Source organism: Homo sapiens, chromosome 1 (assembly GCF_000001405.40).
Source record: "Homo sapiens chromosome 1, GRCh38.p14 Primary Assembly".
Taxonomy (NCBI): Eukaryota; Metazoa; Chordata; class Mammalia; order Primates; family Hominidae; genus Homo; species Homo sapiens.
Window position 1 is genome coordinate 201,588,374 of NC_000001.11, and position 21,426 is coordinate 201,609,799.

The 21,426-nt window shown below is 49.7% G+C and overlaps 1 protein-coding gene and 1 long non-coding RNA gene across 4 annotated transcripts in view, besides 1 other annotated feature; one reads left to right on the top strand and one right to left on the bottom strand.

Annotated features, from left to right (window-relative positions):
• NAV1 (neuron navigator 1) overlaps positions 1–21,426 on the top strand; it is a 287,843-nt gene that overhangs the window by 49,247 nt on the left and 217,170 nt on the right. For 2 of the 3 annotated variants that reach the window (NM_001389617.1, NM_001389615.1), the window contains exon 2: positions 166–276. The exons of the other annotated variant lie outside the window; for it this stretch is intronic. The gene's annotated coding sequence lies outside the window, so the exon portion shown is untranslated. The remainder of the gene's footprint in view (positions 1–165; positions 277–21,426) is intronic. 3 annotated transcript variants of the gene reach the window in all.
• Positions 3,145–3,708: an enhancer, noted in NCBI's record as "H3K4me1 hESC enhancer chr1:201560646-201561209 (GRCh37/hg19 assembly coordinates)". NCBI's record gives its function as "activates a minimal SCP1, AML or CMV promoter by ChIP-STARR-seq in naive H9 embryonic stem cells {active_cell/tissue: H9 hESC(naive)}" and the evidence as "EXISTENCE:reporter gene assay evidence [ECO:0000049][PMID:30033119]".
• LOC124904482 (uncharacterized) overlaps positions 11,473–21,426 on the bottom strand; it is a 48,139-nt gene continuing 38,185 nt past the window's right edge. The window contains exon 2 of the long non-coding RNA XR_007066789.1: positions 11,473–12,056. This is a non-coding gene — a long non-coding RNA (uncharacterized LOC124904482). The remainder of the gene's footprint in view (positions 12,057–21,426) is intronic.

Below are 21,426 nucleotides of genomic sequence, written 5' to 3' on the forward strand. Positions count from 1 at the left end.
GTCTTGCTCTGCTGCCCAGGCTGGAGTGCAGTGACACAATCATAGCTCACTGCAGCCTCAAACTCCTGGGCTCAAGCGATCCTCCCACCTCAGCTTCCTGAGTAGCTAGGACTACAGGTAGGTGCCACCACACCCAGCTGATTAATTTTTTTTTTTTTTTTGTAGAGACAGAGTCTTGCTATGTTGCCCGGGCTGGTCTGAACTCCTAGCCTCAAGTGATCCTCCCACCTCAGCCTCCCAAAGTGCTGGGATTACAGGTGTGAGCCACACACCCAGGTATGAGTTTTGGCTAATCCACAGGGACAGAAAGTAAATTAGGGGTTGGTAGGGCTGGGGACAGGAAAAATAGGGAGTGACAACTATTAGTTATGGGTTTCTTTTGTTGATGGTGAAAATGTTTTGAGATTAGTAGTGATGGTTGCATACTTAGTGAGTATACTAAAAACAAATCAATTGTACAATTTAAAAGATTGGATTTTTTTTTTCTTTTTTGAAATGGAGTCTCGCTCTATCACCCAGGCTGGAGTGCAGTGGCATGATCTTGGTTCACTGCAACCTCTGCCTCCTGGGTTCAAGCAATTCTCTTGTCTCAGCCTCCTGAGTAGCTGGGACTACAGGCACACACCACCACGCCCAGCTCATTTTTGTATTTTTAGTAAAGACAGTGTTTCATCATATCGGTCAGGCTGGTCTCAAACTCCTGACCTCAGGTGATCCACCCACCTTGGCCTCCCAAAGTGCTGGGATTACAGGCATGAGCCACTGCACCCGGCCCAAAAGTTTGGATTTTATTATATTTGAATCATATCTCCATTTTTTAGAAAGAAATCTATTCAGCCCCACACTTCTCTAACTTATTTGAATATGGAGCCTTTTTACCCCAGAGCACCCATTAACATGCAGCAGAAACAGAGTTAAAAATAGAGAACGGTTGAAAATTCCCATGTTACAGATAGGGAAAGGAGAAGCAAATTGTCATCTTTGCCTCAATTTCCTCATCCATAAAATGGGGATAGTAATATTTAGTACCGTGTAGGGAAATGTTAAATTAAGTTAATATGTGTAAAGCACTTAAGCTAATGCCTGCTCAGTAAATGTTGAATAAAGTGTTTTTTTGTTTTGTTTTTCGTTTTTTTGAGAAGAGGCCTTACTCAGTCTCCTAGGCTGAAGTGAAGTGGCATGATCTTGGCTCACTGCAGCCTCTGCCTCCTGAACTTGATTGATCCTCCCACCTCAGCCTCCTGTGTAGCTGGGACCACAGGCGCACACCACCACTCCTGGTTATTTCTTGTATTTTTAGTAGAGACAGAGTTTTGCCATGTTGATCAGGCTTATCTCGAACTCCTGGGCTCATGTGATCTGCCTGCCTTGGCCTCCCGAAGAGCTGGGATTACAGGCGTGAGCCACCGTGCCCGGCCTGTTATTTGTTATTGTCTGAGCACATATTATGGGATGACCCCAAAGTTATGTTATGTAGCTTGATTCTCACAACCATCCCATGGGGAAGACATTTTTCTTTTTTCTTTCTTTTGTTTTTGAGATGGATTCTCGCTTTGTCACCCTGGTTGGAGTGCAGTGGCACGATCTCAGCTCACTGCAACCTTCGGCTCCCAGGTTCAAGCAATTCTCCTGCCTCAGCCTCCAGAGTGGCTGGGATTACAGGTGCGCACCATCATACCCAGCCAATTTTTGTATTTTTAGTGGAGATGGGATTTCACCCTATTGGCCAGGCTGTTCTCAAACTCCTGACCTCAAGTGGTCCATCTGCCTCGGCCTCCCAAAGTACTGGGATTACAGGCATGAGCCACCATGCCCGCCCAGGGAAGACAGTATCTCCATTTCACAGAAGCAGAAAGTGAGGTAATCAGGTGAATGGTAAGCACCCAAGGCCATGCCACTAGTAAGCGATGGGGTAGGAAATGTAACCAGGGCCCTCTGATCTCAGCCTATCCCCTTCCAGGGTCCCACCCGCCTCTCAGTTCCATTCCAAAATCTCCCCAGCTAGGTAGTTCCTGCCTTACTTTTTTCCTTTTTTTGGCAGCTTTATCTAGGTATAATTTACATGAAATGAAATTCAATGAGTTTTGACACATGTATACAGTCGTTTAACTACCATCACAATTATGATTTAGAACATTTCCTCTCTCCAGAAAGTTTCCATCAATCCTCTGCTTCCTGGTCCCTGGCAACCCCTGGCTTTCTTTTTCGGACACAGGTGTTAATGACTGCATGCTGCGAGGTGCCCAGGCCCAGCTGAGGAAGGGCTGCAGGGGAAGCTGCTGTTTGGGTGGGTGAGGCTTGCGCGCGGGGCCAGGAGTCAGAGCATCTAGGCCAGGAGCCAGTGGGCTGGCTTAGCCGAGTCGGCCAGGCCTCTTGCCCGTCTGAGAACTCTTTTTGCCCCATTTTCCAGCCCAGAAAAGCAGATGGGAAGGAGTGGCTGTGTGGAATGGGGTGGGATAGGTGTTAGAAGGGCGGACTGTACCTCTGGTCCTGTTAACCAGCTTGTCGATGACTGAGGATCGCAGACAGTGAGATGTCTTTCTAATGGCCATGTCACCCCAACCTGGTGCTCCTTGCCTCTTCTCTCATTTTATCGTTCAGCATACTTAGCACCATCTAACCTTCTACCTTTCTTTTTTCTTCATGGCCCCTCTCTCCAACACATGCAGTCAAGCTGTTAGAGGATGACTTGGGGCTATTCTGTCCCCTGCTGAATTCCTGGCCTTTAGAGTGGTGTCTGTCCCAAAGGAGGCAACACGGAAAGATTGACTGAATTAACTGAGTATTCAGCCCTTTCCTTTGCCTCTCCTGTAAAACAACGGTATTGGAGTCAAAGATCCCTAAGGCGTCTCTCCAGCTCCACACAGATTTTCTTCTCATCCTTAATGTGCGATGGGGTCACCTGGGGGAGACGAGGCAAGGGAGGGAGGCTGCAGTCATTGTCACCCCTTAGCAGTGACAGGTTGGCACCATAGGAGATCTGTGCTCAGAGGGCCTCTTTGTCAAGAGGTGAGGAGAGGAAGGGCTGTTCACACAACCTCCCCGAGTCAGGGCCCCTCCCAGGGCTCAGTTGCCTTTGAGTAGCCCCAGGTGCTCCCAGCCAGGTATTGTCCTGCCTGGGCTGCAGGGGCTGAGCAGGCCTGGCATATAGAAGGAGGGTGTGAGGAGCTAGGTTGGCACTGGGACAGAAAATAAGTGTGTGTAAATGTATGCAGATGTATGCAAATCTCTGCAGTTCTGCAGCCTGCTGGCTGGCTCTCTGGGTAGGAGACCCATCGCTCCACCCTGGGCCCCACCCCAGCTGCAACATCTCCTTCTGGCCTGTGAATTGCTGCTGCTTGCATCTCCCTCTCAAGAGCATCTTCTCCCTCTCAGCGGCATTGTCCCTCTTCTGTGCCCCCCAAGAGGTCTGGGAAGGTGAGAAAGCTGAATCGTGAGACAGGGAAAGGAAGGGACATGGACTCAAACTGAGGAGGACAGCACCCGAAATGACAGAAGAGGGCCACCAAACCCGGAGCTCTTGATTGCAGCCCCTACTCAGCCTTAGATATCAAAATTGCCACCTGGATAGAGCAACCCTGCTCAGGGTCTGGAACAATCTAAGGAAGGGCTTAGCGATGTCTTTGATGAGGCAGCCTGTGCAGGCTGCAGGCTAGACAATGCGAGGACAGTCTGCAGAGGTGTCTTCTCTCCCTCCCCTCTCAAGCCCCCACTCTCCTCTCTTCCTGAAGCAGGGCTTCTGTGGTGTGGGAAGCTGCCCCACCTGCATGGGAAGCACCAGCCACACCTGCATGGGCCATTAGCATTTTAAAAAGCTGCCTGTCTCTCCTCTCACTGCCTCCCGCTAGCACACACATCCACCCATTTGCCATCAGCAAGTCTTTGTGGAATCAGCAACAGCAGACACAATCCTGAAGCAGAGAGGGAAAGACAGTCCCTGCCCTGGGAAAGCTCATAGTCTGCTGGCAAAGGGTGGGGTGGGACAACAGCTGACAGAACAAGCAGAACTCCATCACCCACAGGCTCCTAGCACCACCCCTCATTTTGTTGAAGAAACAGATTCAGAGCATGCAGGTGATTTCTCTAGAGTCACACAGCCAAGGTGGCAGTGCTGCGGCCCTAACCAGGGTTTCCCGACTTCCAGGCTGGTGCTCTGTAGGCAGCACTTTGCCCACTTATTCCATGTAAGGTGGAGAGAGTGTCAGTCAGTAAATCGGGGTCATTAATTGAAGAATGGGGGCCCTGGCACAGAAGGCTTCCTGGGGGGAGGTGGTCTTTGGATTGTGCTCTAAAGACTGAGATACATAGAGAGTGGCAAGGAGGAGATAATCAATTGTACCCAGCAGGGAATGGGAGAAAAGCACAGGTCTTGGGGTCCAGGTGGCAAGATGATAGCACCTTGCAGAAAGGGGTGGAGGGCCTCATAGCCAACTGGGAGGGGACCCAGTCTTTACCTCCCAGCTCAGAGCCCTACCCGTCAGACCAGGAGCGAGTCCAGGGAGGATTGGGATGCGGTTCGTGGCCCTCTCCTATCACTCTCAGATACTACCATTCTCAATTTGGGGCTACGTCCTCTCCCAGTCACATCTCACTCCCTGTTCCTGATTACTGGGGGCCTCTGTGGACGTTGTTCAGTCTGCATGAGGCTCCTATCACCAAAGATGTTGCCAAGCCCTGCCTTAGATTGCCCCAGACACCAAGCAGTGTTGCCCCATCTGGCAGGTGGAAGTTTTGATATCTGGGGCTGAGTAGGGGCTGCAACTGTGAGGTTGGGATGTGGGGTGGGAATAGGGGTATTCAATCATGGCTGCCGCCACTAGCTTCATAAAGCCTTAGGTAACTGATGCCTTTTCCAGCCCCATCGTCTCCAGCTTCAGGCCCTATTCATCTATCAACCCCACAAGCCTGTCAGCAAGTGGGGCTACTTGGGTCCTCGGGCCTCAATCCACTCCTGGCCAGAGACAACTTCCTCTCCCATGGGAAAGGCTAACGCATGCCCATAAATTAAGACATTTGCTCTCCCTCCAAGCCCTGGAAACCTGGGACTCTCTAACATCTACCTCTGTTTTCTTTGGCTGCATTCAACTTTCCTGCAATTAGTCTGGCCCTGGGGCAGCAGTTAGACGACAGATGAGTCAGAGGATTGCAGAATCTAATCCAGAAGGAAGAGTTTATCCAAATGTTGGTGGCCTTTCTCTTTTGGCGCATTCTCTTCTGGTTCTGTCTTTTCTCAGGAGTCCTCTGAGCTTCCATGTACTGGGCCCGCACGATATGTGCAGTCATTTGTATGTTGCAATGATTGCAACATTGTCATGGGGGAAGGGAAGGGGGCAGTTTAGCATGTGTCTGAGTACATATTCTTTTTCCTCTCCCACCATCAAACTGTGGCTCCTATTGGCCTCAGCACAGGCTTCTTCCCAACTCTGAGCCACTCCCCACTTTCAGTACTATCCCTTCTGCTTTTGCTCTAGTTGCAGCTGCAGGGAGGATGGATGAGCCTGGGGCCATTGGAGGCTCACCAGGATGGGGATGAATCAAGAGCAGGTGTTAAGACTCTGCCTTCAGGCCCTGAGGGGTCAGGGTAGTGGGACCACCATCAGTGCAGGTGGGAAGAGGCTGAATGTAGCAAGCCATCCTGAGAATAGCACCAGCCATGAGCTGAGAGCCAAGAAGTCTGGCAGCAGGCAAGGGAGTGGCACTTTTTTTTTTTTTTTGAGTGGTAGCAAGGTTTATTGTGAAGAGTGAAAGAACAAAGCTTCCACAGCGTGGAAGGGGACCCGAGCGGGTTGCCCGGGAGTGGTACTTCTTTGCCCATTGGTAGATCAAAAGGCCATTTTGGGCCCAAGCAACCCCTATACCTGGGCTAAGGGAGTGCATCATGTGGGCAGGGCCTTATTTTGGCCTCACTTGTTCATTTCATAGCCTCTTGGTCAAGGCAGGGTTGGGGCTCAGCATGACCCAGGAGAAAGGGAGGGGAGGAGGTGGTTGCTGGAATGGAAAGCTTGTGGAGCTCCCAGGCTGCATGGGGTCTGCAGGAACCTGCGGGAGGGAGCCTTAGGAGCCAGCTTGAAGAGAGCCCTGTAATCAGAGGTCTGTGGACTTTGAGTAGCCAGAGGCGAAGCCGGGTTAGTCTTTGGTGGCAGAGCTCCCCATGCAGGCCCCATAAACTCTCTATCAGCATAGTTGAGGACTGGCTTTGCTGGGTTACTCTAAAAGGATGGGGAGAGGAGGACAGGCAGGCAGCAAAGTAGCATTATCCCTTGAGGCAGAATCGGAAATAGGTTATCTCTGTGATACATGGGTCGTGAGGTGAAGTGAGTGAGGGGCTGTGGGGTTTACGGGGAGCTGGCCTTTCTCTGGACAGCCTTGTCTGTGTAGAGCCCTGGGGCAGAACAGCAGGAAGGGCAGGCTCCACCCTGAAACTGGGGCTCTGGGAGCTGTCCAGCACGGGAACCTGCTGAAGCCCCCTCGCTGCTCCAGGATTCAGAGACCAGTTTAGAGGGTCAGGCCTGAGAAAGGGAGCACTGAGCAGGGAATATTTGAACCTTCTCTATGCAGGAGGGCATCTGGGCTAAGCATTAGGCAAGGGCAAGGTGCTTTGCTCTTGTGCCTAGCACAGCGAGGAGGCCGTTGAGGGGAGGGATGTGAAAGCAGCTGAGGATTGCTTCATGTCTCTAGTGTGGACCTGCCACGCCTGAGGACTGTATCCAAGCACACCTCCAAGGCTGAGAGTCTGGGCTGGTCCTGAGGCACTCCCACCACCAGTGGGACCCCAGTCCTTAGTACTGATAACCCAGGGAATCTCAGGCCGAGCTAAGGTGTCTGCCTCTGCTGCAAAGCCTGCTTATTTGGGTTCAATTTTGTCAGCTCTTCTGTGGGCCCTGACAGTGTGCTAGGCACAAGGATGTGTAAGGGTAGTAGTAGGCACCTCACCCTGACTCATGCTTAGAACTGAAGACTGCTTTGCTTCTCTTCCTTCATTCAACAAATCCCTTCCTTTCAACTAAAGCTTTCTCAATAAGCCAGATCTTCAGAGGCTCCAGCCAGCTCTCTCTTTCCCATTCTCTGGCTCAGTGGCTATCCTTTCTTCAAGTGCTTCCTGGAAGCCTCCTCCCTCCCCCAAGTGCCAAGGGGCGCCGAGTCTGTTTCTCACCTCTGCTCACCAGGTCCCTCCTCTCCAGGCCATACCAGGTTTCTGATCAATCCGAGGCAGGGACTGGGGGCATAGTGGGGCCAGGGTAGGGGCAGGCAGGCACAGCAGTGTGCACTGTCACAGCAAGTGGGCTGGGTCTGGGAATTTCAGTTGGGTTTAGAAGCTGGCCTCCAACATGGCCACTGTCTTCCAGCCAAGGGAAGGGAGAAGAAATTCCATCTCTCTGCCTCCTGGCCGAGTTGAAAGCAGATTTTCCTGTGCTGTCTCAGTCATCACTTACGTGTCCCCTGCAACCAAGGTGCCCTTCTTCTGCCTCTTCCACCAAGCCATGTCCTTCCTGATGCAGCATTCTCCTCCTCTAGGATGCTCATTAACTAACTGTGGTTAACTTCGCTTCGGGACTGCGTCCTCTTCAGTTATGTGCATCACTCATACCAGAGATGCTGTGGAGTCATGGTTTAGAATATCAGCTCTGGAGCCAGCAGCCTGGGCTTAAATCTTAGCGACCCCACGTCTTGATTGTGTGATTAAGGCAAGCGCCTTAACCTCACTGCATCTCAGTTTTCTCACCATAAAATGATAACAACAACATTATCTACCCAATGGGGTTTTGTGAAAATGAAATGAGTTGATACACATAAAATGCTGGAAGCAATGCCTGGCATGTGGTACGTGTCCATCAGTGTTTGCTGTTATTATTTCTCTCTTGAGCCTCTGTCCACCTGTAGACCCCATCTCTCCCATCAGGCTGGGAAATTGCCAAGGGCACCTTCGTGTATCTCTCATTAGTCCAAGGGCTTCCTGATGACAGGGACTCTCTTCCCTTCTTTGGGGTACCCTAACCCCAGCCCTGAGGTTAGCTCAAGTTAGCCCAGGGTTTTGGATGCACTGAAGAGGGAGCTTGGTCAAGCCAGTCCTGTTACTGGCTGGGCTCATGTGAAAGAACCACAGCAGCTCATGGGCTGGACTTTCAAAGAACTCCTCAGGACTTTTTGTTTGTTTGTTTGTTTATGGATCAGGAAAGGGCAGACACTGTCACTCTCTGGCTCTGTCTTTGGCCCAGACTTAGTGCCTGGTCATGAGATTCCCATTTCCATCATTCTCCAGTTACTTCCTGTGGCCACTTATTCCACCATATTTATTGAACATCTACTATATTTACAGGACTGCACTAGGTGTGGGAGATAGAGTGGTGAACGAAATATGGTCCCTGCCCCAACAGAGTTTCCAGCCCAATGGGAAGATGTTGGACAAGCAGGGCGGGTTGTTTTTTTAGTTTGTTTGTTTTTTGTTTGTTTGTTTGTTTGTTTGTTTCTGAGATGGAGTTTTGCTCTTGTTGCCCAGGCTGGAGTGCAATGGCGAAATCTCGGCTCACTGCAACCTCCGCCTCCTGGGTTCAAACAATTCTCCTGCCTCAGCCTCCTGAGTAGCTAAGATCACAGGTGCCCACCACCACACCCAGCTAATTTTTGTATTTTTAGTAGAGATGGAGTTTCATCATGTTGGCCAGGCTGGTCTCAAACTCCTAACCTCAAGTGATCCTCCTGCCTCGGCCTCCCAAAGTGCTGGGATTACAGACGTGAGCCACCGTGCCTGGCCTGGCAGGGTGGGTTTTAACAAGGGAGAAGCAACGAGAACATTGGTCTAGTCTAGGAGGTTAGGGAAATGGTCACTGAGGAAGCGATCTTGTGATGAGAAGTTAAGGACGAAGAGGAGAATCAGTGAAGGGGGTTGAGGAGAGGGAGCATTCTAGGTCTTCTGCAGTCCCATCTGGCTTCCCAGCCTTCACCCAGCTAAGGCACCCAGCATTTCTCAGGATTCACACACATTGGCCTTGGCCAAATACCCCCCTACACTCTCCTTCTTCCCCTCCGGCCTCACTCTGAAGACAGCTAAGCTGTCTTCCTGGGGGCTTCCTGGTCAAGGCTCACTGTGCAAACTACAGACTATCACATAATCTCCTAACATGCCCCTGGGGCCCGCTGGTTAAAGCCTGAGAAGAGGATCTGCAAAGATCCCTTCCCACAGGCTGCAGAGCCCGTGCTCCACCGGGCTGAGGGCCAAGCTGGGAGTCCATAAGGACCCCTTCCCACAGGCTGCAGAGCCCCTGCTCCACCAGGCTGAGGGCCAAGCTGGGAGGACCTGAGGCACAGGAGCCGGGTTTCCTCCCTCACACTCCTGCGGAAGCTCAGCCCCCATGCTCCACCTGCTTCCTGTTCCGCGGGGAAGATTTCCTGGTCTGTTTCCTTGGCAGCTGTGTCTCATTTCCTCCTGCTGTGCCCGTGATGTCCTGGCCCAGTGTGACGAGGTGAGGCAGGCCCCTCCCCTGTGAGGTGTGCCATCTCCTGCCCAACTCCATTGCCCCAGATTCCAGAGAGCAGAGTCGGGGAAGTAGGCCCCACCCACCTTGGCCAGGGAGCAAGGGGAGGGAGTTCAGCTGCAGGATGCCTGGGCGTCAAGATGTCGTCAATGCCTCCAATATATACTGAGTGTCTACTACGTGCCAGGCATGATACCAGGCGCCAGGTGGCCAAAGCTAAGTGTTCTTCAAGAAGGCAGCTTTGGAGATGAGCCAGGTATACCTGGTGACTGAGCAGCCAACGCTATGTACACAGTGCTCTGGCAGCTCAGGGCCACTTACAGAAGGTCAGAGAGGCCTTCCTGGAAGGGATGACGTCTGAGCTGAGCTTGGAGGATGAATAGAAATTAGCTAAGGATAAGCTTGAAACCTCGTGGTGTGTGGATAAATGATAAACTATTCAGTAAAACTTGAAGATAAAGAATGAGGCAGGGCAGAGAGATGAGTCTGGGAAATAGGGAGGAATCAAGTGCTGGAGGATCTTAGAGGACCCCCAAGAAACTTGATTTTACCCCGTAGGAGGGTCGTTATCAGAACCACAATTCGATCAGGTCTTTTTGGCCTCAGGGTGGAAATGGTGTGAGTGGGCCATGCGGCGTGGGGCCGGGAGAACAAAGTGTGTGTCCTGGTGAGGAATCGGAACTGCCTGAGTTAGGGTGGTAAGACCAGAGAGCAAGGGCCAAGAAAACTGGCAGGACCACAGGACCAACTGGATGTGCTTCGCCTGGAATAGGAGCAGGGGGTGGAGCTGTGACCTTGGACAATCTCTCACACTCTCCAAACCTCAAGTTCATCATCTGTCAATTGCCTTCCCCCGACTAGAAGGAGCTGAGCTAATGGATGCAGTAAAAGCAGTGGGTGAGGGCAGTCATCGTGTTGCCATTTTAAAAAGGCTGTGAAACTACAAGCTGGTAGGGTCCCGGCCATGAGGAACCCGAGTCTTCAGTTTGGGGACAGAAGTAAGTGGGAGGGGGGTGTTATTGTTTTCTGTGGCTTACCCTGGAGCTGATAGGCTATACAGAGGCCATGACATCCCTCCCCCTGCCTCTGGACAGATGATCATTATCAGGTGGGGCATTGGCATCAGGAAGGAGCTGCCTGTCATTCAGAAAACATTTCTGGAGCCTCTAGTGGGGACAGGACTTTTGTTGGCCCCACTTAGCATATGGGGAGGCATAAGGCCAGATCTCTGCCTGCTGACAGTCACCCACCCTGACAGCCTCCCCACTTGGGCTTAGCTGGCCAGGTTGGGCCCCCCAGGAGGCAAAACCCTGCAAGGAGAACCCTCTGGGACAATGAGGTCACACTCTCTTTGGATCACGTGATTCAAGGTTCCCAGCTCCTCCTCATGTCATTTTCTTGTATCCAACCCCAATCTTTATGGCTAGAGGAGGACTTCCTTTTGCAGGGCCTGTTTTCAGTGGGAACAGAGAACAAAGGCATTATATCTGCAAGGTCCATGAGCCAGCCTCCCTTTGACCTTCACTCTGGAATCAGCCACCCTAGTCCATTAACCTCTCCTTGGACGGCCCCTTCCATCCCTTTTTCCCAGATGCAATTCCAGTTCCCTGTGCGCCTTGTAAGCACAGAGCACAAAATGAATTTGTTAAGGGTTTCATGAGGTCCTGACCCACAGGTGGTACAGAAGAATGGATTCTCTGGCAGTTCAGAGTCTGTGGCAGGCAGCCAGCGAAATCCAGGACTTAGGGCCCACTTCGATGCTCAAGTCATGGGAGCTTCTCTCCATGAATTTTGCGTCTGTCATGAGCCCCTCTTACTAGGAGGGGGAACCATCAGGCAGGCTTCCGAGCGCCTGCTCTGATTCTCTTCAGCGCCACTCACGCAATTGCTATAAAAGAGACCAGGCTCAGGGACAGGGGGAGGGAGGGATGGCGTCTGTGTCATAAACAAGGAGAGATATTTAGTGGTTTTTAAGCACCATAGGCATCTCCAGGGAGAGTTTGAGGGGGAAAAAACAACACTTTATTTGGAAACAATTCTGCTGAGATACAATCTTGTCTCAGCTTCACTTTCTCTGCTATTTATTATGAAGTGCTATGTGCTCAAAAATAGGGGCTGAGTTTTAAAGTCACAGGCCAAGCTCTGGGCTCTGAACCGAGGAGACAGCTTGGGCCCGGTTATCTGCCCTAGAGAGGAAGGGTCTTAAGCAAAGCGGCTCATCTGTGACTCGGGATACCTCATTCTTCCAACTCCTGGGACGTAGGCCCCAGTCATCCCTGAAAGCCTTTGTACAGTGAATGACCTCTGTACCAGAGGGGTCCCCAAGGCTGGAGCAGAGAAAAGCCCCAAAGGAGAGACTCTCCAGGTCTCTCCAGGTTGCTGAGTGAGCCTCCTCCCTTGACTTGCTTTCTCTGTTTCTCTGTGACTTTCTCTTCCTTTTACTCCTGCCCCATGCCCTGTGTGGTGCTATCCTGCTCTGAACCAAAAGTGGACAATAACCCCAACGACTTCTCCTTTTCCCCTGAAGCATGGTGGAGACAGGCTGGAGTTTTCAAAAAGTTTGTGTCTCTTCAAACATGGATCCTGGAACAGAAAAAGAACATTAGTGGAAGAACTGGTGGACTCCAAATACAGTCTATACTTTAGTTAATAGTAATGTGCCAGTGTTGATTTCTTAGTTTTAGCAAATGTACCGTGGTTATGTAAATTCTAAAATTAGGGGAAACTGGGTGAAGCGTAGATGGGAACTCTGTACTATCTTTGCAACTTTTCTGTAAATCTAAAATTACTTCAAAATAAAAACTCAAAAAAATAGGTGAGGGAGTGACAAAAAAAAAATGGACCAAGATGAGTCAGAAATTTCAAGCCTGGGGAGGCTTACAACACTAAGGTACCTGATCCCTCAGTCCTAGTAAAAGAGCAAAGGACTCTCCTGAGCCGAAAAGCCCTCAAGATCAAGTTTGTCCTGGGATCACAATCCTCTAGCACTTGAGAGATTCCCTACCTGAAGTCTGGCTCTGGAAGTTTCATTTCCTTAGTTCTAGGAGCCATCTCCTGGGGAGGTTTGCCCTTCCCTGGGTCTCTGCCAAAGCTGTTCAGTAAACCTGCTGTTCTCTTTTCCTCTTCCCAAGCTCTTGGATACTCCAGGTTGTCTCCTGCTCTGGCTTCTGGTCAGAGACAGACTTATGGCAGCCATAGCAGTCACCCGTCTCATCTAGCTCCAGGGAGCTACTCAGCTGGAGGAGTCTTCAGACTTATTTCAGCTGGGGACCACATAATTTACCTCAGCTCTAACATGGATAGCTGCTGTTGTCTGCATGTTTGTGTCTCTTCAACAATCATGTTGGAATCCTGGCTGGGTGTAGTGGCTCATGCCTGTAATCCCAGCACTTTGGGAGGCTGAGGCAGGAGGATCACTTGAGTCCAGGAGTTCAAAACCAGCTTGAGCAACACAGTGAGATCCTGACTCTATCACACACACAAAAAATTAGCTGGGCTTGGTGGCATGCACCTGTAGTCCCAGTTACTTGGGAGACTAAGGTGGGAGGATCGCTTGAGCCTGGGAGGTTGAGGCTGCAGTGAGCTGTGATCACACCACTGTACCCCAGCCTCGGTGAGGGAGTGAGACCTTGTCTAAAAAAAATATTCTAACCTCCAGGGTGATGGTATTAGACAGTGGGACCTTTAGGGGTGATTTGGTCATGAGGGCAGAGCCTTCTTTGTGAATGGGATTAGGGCCCTTATAAAAGAGACCTTAGAGAGACTCTTCACTCTTTCCAACGTGTGAGGACAGGGCAGGAAGGTGCCATATATGAACCAGAAAGCAGGTGCTCACCAGACACTGCATCTCCTGGCACCTTGAATTTGGGCTTCCACCCTGTGGAACTTTGTGAGAAGTATATTTCTATTGTTAAAAGCCACCCAGTCTGCAAAATTTTGTTAAAGCAGCTAGAACAGACTAAGAGAAGGGCCAATATTTAAAAGAGTTGAACTTGAAGCTAGATAAAGCAGGAGAGTCCCCTAGCCCAGCATCCCTTTCTACTCCCTCATGGCAGCCTCAGTGGTGGTGTCGAGGAGGGGATCCACAGGCCCTTTGGAAACCTCTGAGTTCCAGCCAGCTCAGGTTATCAGCTGCCCCCTCTCTGGAGCACCTCAGGATGGGTTCCGCAGGTATATTTCCCATACCCACCCTTCCACTGACCCACCAGAGAGAATGGTTTTTCAAAAGTCCACCTTTTAAGGGTCTAAAATGAAAAAAAACACCAATCCAATTAGAACATGCCACCAGCATCAGAGGACTTCTTTCTCCACCAAATCACTGTCAAGGCCACCTCCTAAAGTCTTTCCTAAGTCTTTCTTGCTGCTGCAGTTTCAAGCTCTTTTCTTTATGTTTCTTCCCAGGGCAGGAGAAAAAGAATTGGACCCCACTGGGCCTAAAAAACTCCTTGTTCTTAAAGTTGCAATTCGGTTCTTCTCTAAGTTTTTTTGTTTTTGTTTTTGTTTTTTCTTTTTTGAGATGGAGTCTCGTTCTGTCACCCAGGCGGGAGTACAGTGGCGCGGTCTCGGCTCACTGGAACCTCTGCCTCCCAAGTTCAACAATTCTCATACCTCACCCTCCTGAGTAGCTGAGATTACAGGTGTGTGCCACCAGGCTGGCTAATTTGTTTTGTGTTTTTAGTAGAGACAGGGTTCCACCGTGTTGGCCAGGCTGGCCTCAAACTCCTGACCATCTCAGCCTCCCAAAGTGCTGGGTTTACAGGCTTGAGCCACTGCACCTAGACTTAAGCTATGTTTTTTTTTTTTGGTTTTTTTTTTTTTTGGTTTTTTTTTTACCATGAGCTCATCCAGAGTTCTTCAGCCTTGGGCCACAGAGCCAGGCCTTCTGCACCCCTTGAGAGCTGCTCTTGGCTGGGGCATGCTCCAGGGGGACAGGGCTGGAAACCAGCTACCCCTCAGCTCCTACTCACACTCCTGCTGACTTTCACCAGTCCCCCTCAGCCCCCTCACCCAGCCTCCCCATCCTGACAAGCCTGGCTCAGGCCAAGCAGAAATGGTAGCAGCATTCCTCTGATGCTGTTGGTATTATTGGAAAAGTCAGCTTCAAAACCACAGAGGGATTTAGAGTACTGGGGGCGAGAGCTCGGGAAGGAGTGTAGACAGTGAGACAGCTGAATTAAACAGTGTCGGTGTGAGTCACTGCTCTCCTGCCTGCCGCCCCAGTCCTGGCGTGAACCTAGAAGCTGGTGAGACAGTTATCTTCTCAGTGAGTTAAATTGCTCTCTGAGTACAGAACCAGGGAGACTGGACTGAAAATTACAGCAGGAAAGGTTTAGGCTAGACATCAAAAATAATTCTCTGAACTTCATGGGTCCCAAAAGATTTTACGGTTTCCTGGGAGGCATCCAGTATTTTGCCAAAGCTCCACCTGCCTGCAGTAACTCAAGTCAATCCTGCCACCTTAAGTATCTCTTCTATGACTTGGTGACTCTCATGTTCTGAAAGGACCTCATATAGTCTCAACATGGAATTGCTGCATCACTGTAAAATTTACAGGAATGGTTGTTGTACGTTTTCATCTGTAACTAGGGTCAGGACACCCTACTGCCCTTTGCTTCTGGTAACAGAAGTCATGACTTTGGCAAAATTAATTTGCCTGAAAATTAGCCTGGAGGATGTCCCTTTGCTTTGTCTTCCACATGCCTGCATTTTCTTTCACTGTCTTCTACATGGTCACGTAGAATTGGGGTGCTTGGAAGGGCATCCAGGTATCACTGAACCCTTCCCTTCCTTGAAGGTGGAAAGTAGCCCCACTCCAGACAGTAGGCCAGGCAGGGAGTTGGGATGGGAGTATTCAGCATTTAGGACATCTACCGGGTCAGTGAGGGAGAGATTGTTATCCCCATTTTACAGATGAGCAACTGAGACTTAGGTTAATCATTTGCCCATGGCTCATAGAGAGTAGGTGCATTACTCTGGATGGAAGCCAGGTCTTTGGGCATCGGGAACAAGGTTCTTTCCATTTCATCGCATAGCCTTTCAATTCTAGTCATAATAATGGTGATTAAGATAAAAACAAATGGTTGGTCACAGAAGGCCAACAAAAATAACCGTGTGATTGAGCACTTCCTGAGCTCCCACTCTGTGCCTGAGCTCATCACTTCATCTCATTTTTCCTTGAAACAACCCTGTAAGATACATGCTGCTATTCTCATTTTGTTTATTTATTTTGAGATAGGGTCTCGCTTTGTCACCAGGCTGGAGTGCAGTGGCACGATCACTGCTCACTGCAGCCCTGACTTCCCAGGCTCAAGGATCCTCTCACCTCAGCCTCCCGAGTAGCTGTGACTAAAGGCATGTGGCACCACGCCTAGCTAATTTTTAATTTTTTTGTAGAGGTGGTGATCTTGTTATGTTGCCCAGGCTGGTCTCGAATTCCTGGACTCAAGTCATCCTCCTGCATTGGCCTCCTAAAGTGCTGGGATTACAGGTGTGAGCCACCGTGCCTGGCTACTATTCCTATTTTATAGATAAGAAAACTGAAGCTCATGGGCCGGGTGTACAACGGCTCACGCCTGTAATCCTAACACTTTGGGAGGCCGAGGTGGATAGTAGATCATTTGAAGTCAGGAGTTCGAGACAAGCCTAGCCAACATGGTGAAACCCCATCTCTACTAAAAATACAAAAATTAGCCGGGCATGCTAGCACGCACCTATAATCCCAGCTACTCGGGAGGCTGAGGTGGTAGAATCGCTTGAACCTGGGAGGCGGAGGTTGCAGTGAGCCGAGATCGTGCCACTGCACTCCAGCCTGGGTGAAGAGCAAGACTCTGTCAGAAAAAAAAAAAAAAGAAGAAGAAAGAAAGAGAAAGGAAAGAAAGAGAAAGAAAGAAAGAAAGAAAGAGAGAGAGAGAGAAATAAAGGAAAAGAAAGAAAAGAAAAGAAGGAAAGAAGGAAGGAAGGAAGCCAAAGCTCAAAGAAATTATACCACTTGACTGGGTCACCCATCGAGGAAGGGGTGGAGTGAAGGTTCAAACCCAAGTTTTTGACACTAAAGCCCACGCTCTTTCCCCTGTATGTAGTATTTTCTTGCAGAATTTTTCTGCCCTGATATTTAAGAACTTCTTTTTGTCTAAATATTTATTCATCCTGCTACAATGTAAACACAGCTATGCAAATATATTAATGGATATTTGTTTTGCTTTGTTGTTTTTACTGAGGGCACCCTAGCACATACACAAACGATGACCCAGCACCAGGGAGGTTGCTTGTTTTCTGGCTTCTGCTTTTTTTTTTTTTTTCCTTCCCCCTGATCCTGTCTTCTGCTTCTCTCCCATGCCTTTGTGTTGCCCCTAGGGTGTTTCTCTACTTTCCACCTTCCCTCTCCATCCTCTCTGCTCCTTTAGACCTTGGCAGCCAATCCTGTACCTCCAGCATCTCGTTGCCTAGCAACCGGCTTCCTACCTGCCCCATTGTGTTAGAATCTCCATGACAACAAGTATTGCCAAAAGAGAGAAAAAAAAGTTAGGTGGTAGCAGGAGGTGATGAGACCCTTTATTTTAGGACATTTGTGCAGTTTTGCCAGCAATAATTTGCTCACTCTCAGGATTCCCCAGAGGGTGTCACAAATGGACTGAACCCAGACCTCATGAGATAACAAGTCACGAGACTGACAGTCTGTCTGTGTGTGGGGATATAAACTCTAGCATAGAGGCATTCATGTGAGGGGCAAGAATGAGAGCCACGGGCATTTTTTGTTTAGACAGATGGGACTGGGTCACATGATCCCCTTTCTGTGGGTCAGTTCAGGAAGGCAGCCTGAATGAGGGAGGATTTTTTAATAGTTGCACAAGTAAGGTAAAGGAGAATACTTTCCAATAAGCCATAGGTGTGGGTGCATCTGAATTGGGCCATGCCTGGCCAGCTGCATCTAGGGGAGGGCTAAGGAGAGGGGGAATGGGAGATACCATAAACAAGATTTGGGGCAACACAGTCTCCTGCCTAAGCACTGTGGGGGGGTGTGAGCCCCGTGAGATCCCTGCTCTGTCCATCTCCAGGCTGTGGTTGGCCTCAGCAGCCTCTGCATCCCTTCTGCTTTGCCTAGAGGGAGACTGCAGGGAAAAAGAGGGAAAGAGGAAGTGGGAAAGAAGTCCAGACCATGTTAGATTTCCAGGTGCGTGGGCTTGTGTTCACAATGGGGACCCTGGCTCTTTCATTCACAGCCTCTGAAGGCCTGACATATATTCACCACATGGCTATGGGATCCACCTAGAAAGGGGAAGTCAGGTGATGTCTTAGAAAGGGGAGGCACTGAGAAGAAAGGTGAGACAGCTGGAGCAGGTCAGAGCACTTAGGCACTGCCTTTCTGGACATGTGGCCAGGGATCGACCAGGACCCTTGTGAAGGCAAGGACTTGCACATTGCGAAACCTCCTCTCCTGTGGGCAAAACAGGGGGCTACCTGGTCTGTCTTTATTGTTCAAGGTAGACAGTGCATGGAAGACCTGTCCCCAAGCCAGTATCTGGCACTTATAGCCACTCAACCTACCCACCCAACCATGCTATTTTGCTGGCACTTTCCTCACTACTACTGCCATGTGAACTGTGAGGCTGTCCTAAGGCCACGGGTCATCTTGTCATCCTGTCCATGCACCTGGCCCTTGAACTTCACAGGCAGAAGAGCATCTTTGCGTCTCCAAACTCCAAACAGAAGGACTAGAAAGACTGCAGTCCTGGTATTCTGTATTTCTGTCCTCTTCATGGACAGAAAGTTCTTTGTAACCTCTAACTTAAATCCCTGAAGTAGAGCAGTTCACTTGTTATTATCTGTGTTCATTGGGGAAGAACAGAACAAGATCTGCTGGCTATGGGGCCACCCCACACACACATTTTCTCCAGCTTTGCTCCCCTACTTGGCCTGACTGTTCAAGGCCCCCAGCAAAGGCTACATTCCCACTGCTGAGCAAGGCCATTTAGATGCAAGATACTAATTGCTAAAACAGATGTAATGAGTCAAATACCCTTAGACACTATTGGAGGACAAACAACTCGGTTAATCTTTTTGACAAGCAATCTGCAATTTGTAACCAAGAATCTTTATAAGATTCTCCTCTTGGACCCAGTAATTCTCCTTCAAAGAATTTAGCCTGTGGAAATAATCAGAGTCCCAAGCAAAACTATTTTGGATGTTTGTCGCACTGTTATACATAATAGTGGAAAATTGGAAACAACCTCAATGGCTAGTGGTGGTAAAGTGGTCAAATAATTTTTTTCTTTTTTTTTTTTTTTTTTGAGATGGAGTCTCCCTCTGTCACCCAGGCTGGAGTGCAGTGGCAGGATCTCAGCTCACTGCAACCTTCACCTCCCAGGTTTAAGCGATTCTCCTGCCTTAGACTTCCAAGCAGCTGAGACTACAGGCGTCCACCACCACACCCAGCTAATTTTTGTATTTTTGTAGAGATGGGGTTTCACCATGTTGGCCAGGCTGGTCTCTAACTCCTGACCTCAAGTAATCCACCCACCTCGGCCTCCCAAAATGCTGGGATTACAGGTGTGAGCTGCCATGCCAGGCCAAATAATTTTTGTGTAATGCATTCACATAATTGTTTACTATCTACTAACAAGTATGTTTTTAATAATTTTTGAAGACTTTATTTTTATTATTTTTGAGATGGAGTCTCGCTCTGTCTCCAAGGCTGGAGTTCAGTGGCACGATCTCGGCTCACTGCAACCTCTGCCTCCCAGGTTCAAGCAATTCTCCCACCTCAGTCTCCCCAGTAGCTGGGATTAGAGGCATGCACCACCATACCCAGCTAATTTTTGTATTTTTAGTAGAGACAGGGTTTCACCATGTTGGCCAGGCTGGTCTCGAACTCCTGACTTCAAGTGATCCACCCACCTCGGCCTCCCAAAGTGCTGGGATTATAGATGTGAGTCACTGCACCTGGCCTGAAGACTTTAAAATGAAAAGTAAAAATGCTTAATATATAGTGAAAAGATATAAATATATAGTATAATGATAACTTTATTGTGTGTGTGTGTGTGTGTGTGTGTGTGTGTGTGTGTGTGTGTGTTATGAACAGTAAAAACCCTGGAAGAACCCAAAACCTACAAATGCTAATAATTGACTTAGTGGGGTGATAACTTGATAGGTGATAGACATTTTCTTTTTTATGTTTTGAGATTTTCCAAGTTTTTTCTAATGCACATGTTATTTTTATAAGTAATAAGAACTACCCTTTTTAAAGGACTTACCATGTGCTACTGTACTAAACATTCTCCACACATTATTTTTTTCCACCTCTACAGCAATTCAGTGATGTAGGTATTCTCGTTTTTCAGATGAAACAACGAAAGCTTAGAGAGGTTAAGTAACTTTCCCAAAACTGCACAGCTTATAAGTAGAACCGGATTCTGAACAGAACTCCCCCAAAACTTATAAAAAGTGAATGCTGTCATTCAGTGTGGCGATGAGAGCTGATAAGTGGTATTGATCTGCACGGCCTGCGAGTTTCTGATCCAAGTCTGCGAATGCCAGTGGACCCCACCTCAGATGCCCCTCTTGCTGTAGCTCTACTTGCTGGGCAGCCTCGGTCTAACCTCCTGATCAGCCCTTCAAGGCAGAGGCGACCCCGTTCAGAGATGTTGTGTGGGGACTTACAGGTCAGTGAGGCACCGAGTACAGGCAGAACGGAGGCAGTTGCTCTCCTGGGTCTGCCCAGCATGACAGGGAAACAGAGGAGGCACTTTTCCAGCTTTGCTGACAGAAGTCTCCCATAAGCTCACCTGTCAGCCTCCTGGTGTCTGGCAGGATGCTGGGCCTTGGGCAGCTACGCCCTGGAGCCTCACAGCTCATGGGACTTTTTTTCTGAGATTGGGGTCAGCTGGGGGAGGAGGGTTTCTCTCCTGCAGCCTGGCGCTGGGACCTTGGGCAGTGGCCAGACCTGGCCTCTCCCTCCGTGCGTGACTACCACACGAATGTGCTGCTGCCGAGATCAGGGAGTCACCCTGGCTTGGCAGCGCTGTGCTGGCAGGAATGGGGGCTCAAGCACAGTTTTAGCTTGGCTCTGAGGGAGGCTGCTGGAGCCAGCAGGACAGGGGAACTCAGCTTTGCTGGAGAACAGAAACACATAAGCAGCCGATGGAACAAGAGAGGGCAATGGGACTGGAATGATCTTCAGTGCTGGAATTGCTTGCCCCGCTTTTCAGATGGCAAAGCTAAGGCCTAGGGACTGAGTAACTCGGGAAGATGCTTAGCGCTGGAGTCCTGTCCAGTGTTCTGACTCCTGGGCTGCATGTGACTGCTGGGCCTGCTGCCAGACCCTAGCTCAAGTTTCTGATCCCCCAACCCTACCCCTCACACATTCTGAGCTGTTGGGGAGAAGGAAGAGCTTATTGCTAGTGTAGCCAGCCTGGAGCTGCCTTCACTTGGCAAGAGGTCTGGTCTGCACCTCACAACATAGTCCCACTAACAGGTTTGACTCTAGGTCCAGCCCTCTCCAAATGCCAGGCTCTGCTGTTCCAGGCAGGAAACCAGCCCACACACTGCAAAGTGGCCTGGGCCTCTGGGCTGGAGGGCTTTAGGAACAGTCCGTAATCCCCACGATCTCTCCTGTCCCGGCACCAAGGACCCTTCATCCCTTGCCCCAGACCAGTGGCCCTGGAAGTATGTGGGATTTGTTGAGTGATACTACCTCCATCTGCCTGGCTGGAAAACCCATCCATGCAGAAATACTGGAAGTTTTAAGATAGGGGAGAAAAATAATAATAAAGCAAGTGTGAGAAAGATGGAGCTGACAGGTCTGGTGGGAGACGTGGTCATCTGGCTGGCGGCTTGGGGGTCTTCACAGGCTCAAGTTTCTGTGTCTGCACTGAGCTCTCCCAGCCCCAAGGTTCCGCTTACCTCTGCTCCTCCCTATTCAGCAGCTCCAGTGTCCATCAGGAATCTAAGCTATTGT